We start from the raw sequence: 3,250 nt of genomic DNA, 5'->3' as shown, positions 1-3,250 counted from the left end.
TCTCTTCCATTTCACTCATTGGCCAGAATTAGTCACATGCTCCCAACCCACCTGCTAGGAAGGCTGGAAGTAACAGTCTTCCCCAGTGTCCAGGGAAAGGAAGAAACAAAGCAAGTGCACCTGTGGCATTGTCTCCACCTCAATAGGACACAAAATCAGGGAGCCCTGAAACATCCAAGGCTTGAGCCTAGAACATTTGTCTCAATAAGAGCCTGTGGGAGGAGCTACTTTCCAAGAGTTCTGACTCCCCATAGTGAGGCTTTAAGAAGGGGACCAAAACGCTCCTGGGTGAGGCTTATTCCTGGATGTAGGACCTATCCTGGATTTCCTTATCTATGGATGGGACAAAGCCACATGGGGAGATCTGCATCCCCTTTAGTCTCAGAACATTGGTCTCCCTTCCTCCTTTTTCTCCAATTAGTCAGTAAAATGCATGCGCTATTAGCACTTTCCCTGCAGACTGATGCTGGGTCCTGATCATAGTAATCCAAGAAGGACACGGGGGAATCTGAAAAAGGTCCTTCTTGCTGAGTAGTTGGAAGTGTCCCCCCTTCTTTGGGGACTTTCCTATGCTCATGGGCACGTGTTTCAAAAATGCTGAGAGACCACTAAGACAAAATGAGATTGGTGAAAGACCCTACCCAGAATAAATATCATTGAATTGGGGGCAGAAGTCACAATTGCAGCTCATTCCCCCAACCTGTCCAGATAACGCCAACCACAAATTATGATGAATGGTTTAAGTGGAGAGCAGTGAGTAGATGACTAAGATGAAATTATTAAAATGCCACAATGGTGATAAGGGTCAGAGAGCCCAAAGGGATTCCTAGCCCTCAAATTTGAAATATTTAAACTGTCCCTGTGATACCAGGGAGCATCATGAGGCCAATAGCATTCCCTAAAGTCAGCAGATTGTTCCCTGCTCTCGAGAGATGTGTGCACCCCAGAAAGGACACAGCTAGAAGGAGGTGAGGTGGAATGAGAAGGCCAGGCTTCCGATGAAGGTAACACTGAAGAGTTCTAATCCCCAGGTCTAGGCATCAGCTCACTGGCTGCCACCAAAGTCCCTAAGGAAAAACAAACATTAGGCCGGGCATGGTGGCTCACACCTATAATCCCAGGACTTTGGGAGGCCGAGGTGGGTGGATTACTTGAGGTCAGGAGTTCGAGACCAGCCTGACCAACATGGTGAAACCCCGTCTCCACTAAAAATACAAAAATTAGCCAGGCGTGGTGGCATGCGCCTGTAACCCCAGCTACTTGAGAGGCTGAGGCAGGAGAATCGCTTGAACCTGGGAGGCAGAGGTTGCAGTGAGCCGAGATCACGCCACTGCACTCCAGCCTGGGCTACAAGAGTGAGACTCCATCTCAAAAAAAAAAATGAAAAGAAAAGAAAAGAAAAAACAAACATTAGAAAAGTGTATTTGGGAGAATTCACCTACCTCCTGTGTGAATCCCTCTTTTTCCTCTGGATTCTTCTCTCCTGCTTTCTCAGCTTCTTGTGCACCAAGACCCATTCAGGTCCGACTTCCCCCAAAACGGCCTTTGTTCTTTACTCAAATACTCAGAGAGGCTGTTCATCTGGTTATTTAATGAAAATAATTGTCACCAAATGTGAGTTGCATATTGACGGAGCAACTCATTAATAGAAATGAGTCTACAGCATGGTAGAGCACAGGGAGGCAGTGTCTAGAAAAGCAAGAGCCCCTCTCACCAGGCCTGGCGGCACACCTACCCTGGTCAGAAACCAGCCACCTGCAGGCAGGGACCATTTCAATACTGCGTACTCTTAGGAGCTTTCCTTCCCCACTTCCACCGTCTTTCTGTATTTCCCTCATTCTCAGAAAAAACACTCACACAGAAGCCTTTTTATCTCAGGTTCTGCTTTGAGGGAGATGCAGGCTGGTGATACAGGTGTTCTTAAGAAATAATTTCCAGGCAGCTACTCAGGGTAAAGGTTCTCGGAGGAAATTTTCCTGTAATAAAAAAACAGCCCCGAACCATCTCTTTTCTAACAGAAAAGGTGGCTTGAAGGGCCGGGCAGGCAACCTTTAATATGCAAATGCCAGCCATTTAGAAACTTGGTTCACTCAATGTGGCAATTACCGCTGTCTTTTCCTTGTCACTGTGTCCAGAATTGGTGGGTTCTTGGTCTCACTGACTTCAAGAAAGAAGCCTCGGACCCTCGCGCTGAGTGTTAACAGTTCTTAAAGGGGGCATGTCCGGAGTTTCTTCCTTCTAGTGGGTTCGTGGTCTCGCTGGCTCAGAAGTGAAGCTGCAGACCTTCGCGGTGTTACAGCTCTTAAGGCGGCGCAGCTGTAGTTGTTCGTTCCTCCCGGTGGGTTCGTGGTCTCGCTGGCTTCAGCAGCGAGGCTGCAGACCTTCGCGGTGAGTGTTACAGCTCATAAAAGCAGTGTGGACCCAAAGAGTGAGCAATGGCAAGATTTAATTGCAAAGAGCGAAAAAACAAACCTGCCACACATTAGAAGAGGACCCAAGCAAATTACTACTGCTAGCTCGGGCAGCCTGGTTTTATTCCCTTATCTGGCCCCACCCACATCCTGCTGATTGGTCCATTTTACAGAGAGCCAATTGGTCTGTTTTACAGAGAGCTGATTGGTCCGTTTTGACAGGGTACTGATTGGTGCATTTACAATCCCTGAGCTAGACACAAAAGCTCTGCACGTCCCCACTAGATTAGCTAAATACAGAGTGTCCATTGATGTATTTACAAACCCTGAGCTAAACACAGAGTGCTGATTGGTGTGTTTACAAACCTTGAGCTAGATACAGAGTGCTGATTGGTGTATTTACAATCCCTTAGCTAGACATAAAGGTTCTCCAAGTCCCCACCAGACTGACTAGATACAGAGTGCCTAATGGTGAATTCACAAACCCTGAGCTAGACACAGGGTGCTGATTGGTGTATATACAAACCTTGAGCTAGATACAGAGTGCTGATTAGTGTATTTACAATCCCTTAGCTAGGTATAAAGGTTCTCCAAGTCCCCACCAGACTCAGGAGCCCAGCTGGCTTCACCCAGTGGATCCTGCTCGGGGCTGCAGGTGGAGCTGCCTGCCAGTTCCGCGCCGTGCGGCCGCACTCCTCAGCCCTTGGGCGGTCGATGGGACTGGGCACCGTGGAGCAGGGGGCGGCGCTTGTCGGAGAGGCTCCGGCCGCGCAGGAGCCCACGGCGGGGGGCGGGGGCGCTCAGGCGTGGTGGGCTGCAGGTCCCGAGCCCTGCCCCGC

General features: G+C 49.2%; 1 annotated feature.

Moving 5' to 3' along the window:
- Window positions 1,792–2,380: an enhancer, noted in NCBI's record as "OCT4-NANOG hESC enhancer chr17:12125284-12125872 (GRCh37/hg19 assembly coordinates)". NCBI's record gives its function as "activates a minimal SCP1, AML or CMV promoter by ChIP-STARR-seq in primed H9 embryonic stem cells {active_cell/tissue: H9 hESC(primed)}" and the evidence as "EXISTENCE:reporter gene assay evidence [ECO:0000049][PMID:30033119]".

Source organism: Homo sapiens, chromosome 17 (assembly GCF_000001405.40).
Source record: "Homo sapiens chromosome 17, GRCh38.p14 Primary Assembly".
Taxonomy (NCBI): domain Eukaryota; kingdom Metazoa; phylum Chordata; class Mammalia; order Primates; family Hominidae; genus Homo; species Homo sapiens.
Note: the sequence above shows the minus strand (reverse complement) of the source record. Positions and strands in the feature narration are given on the sequence as shown.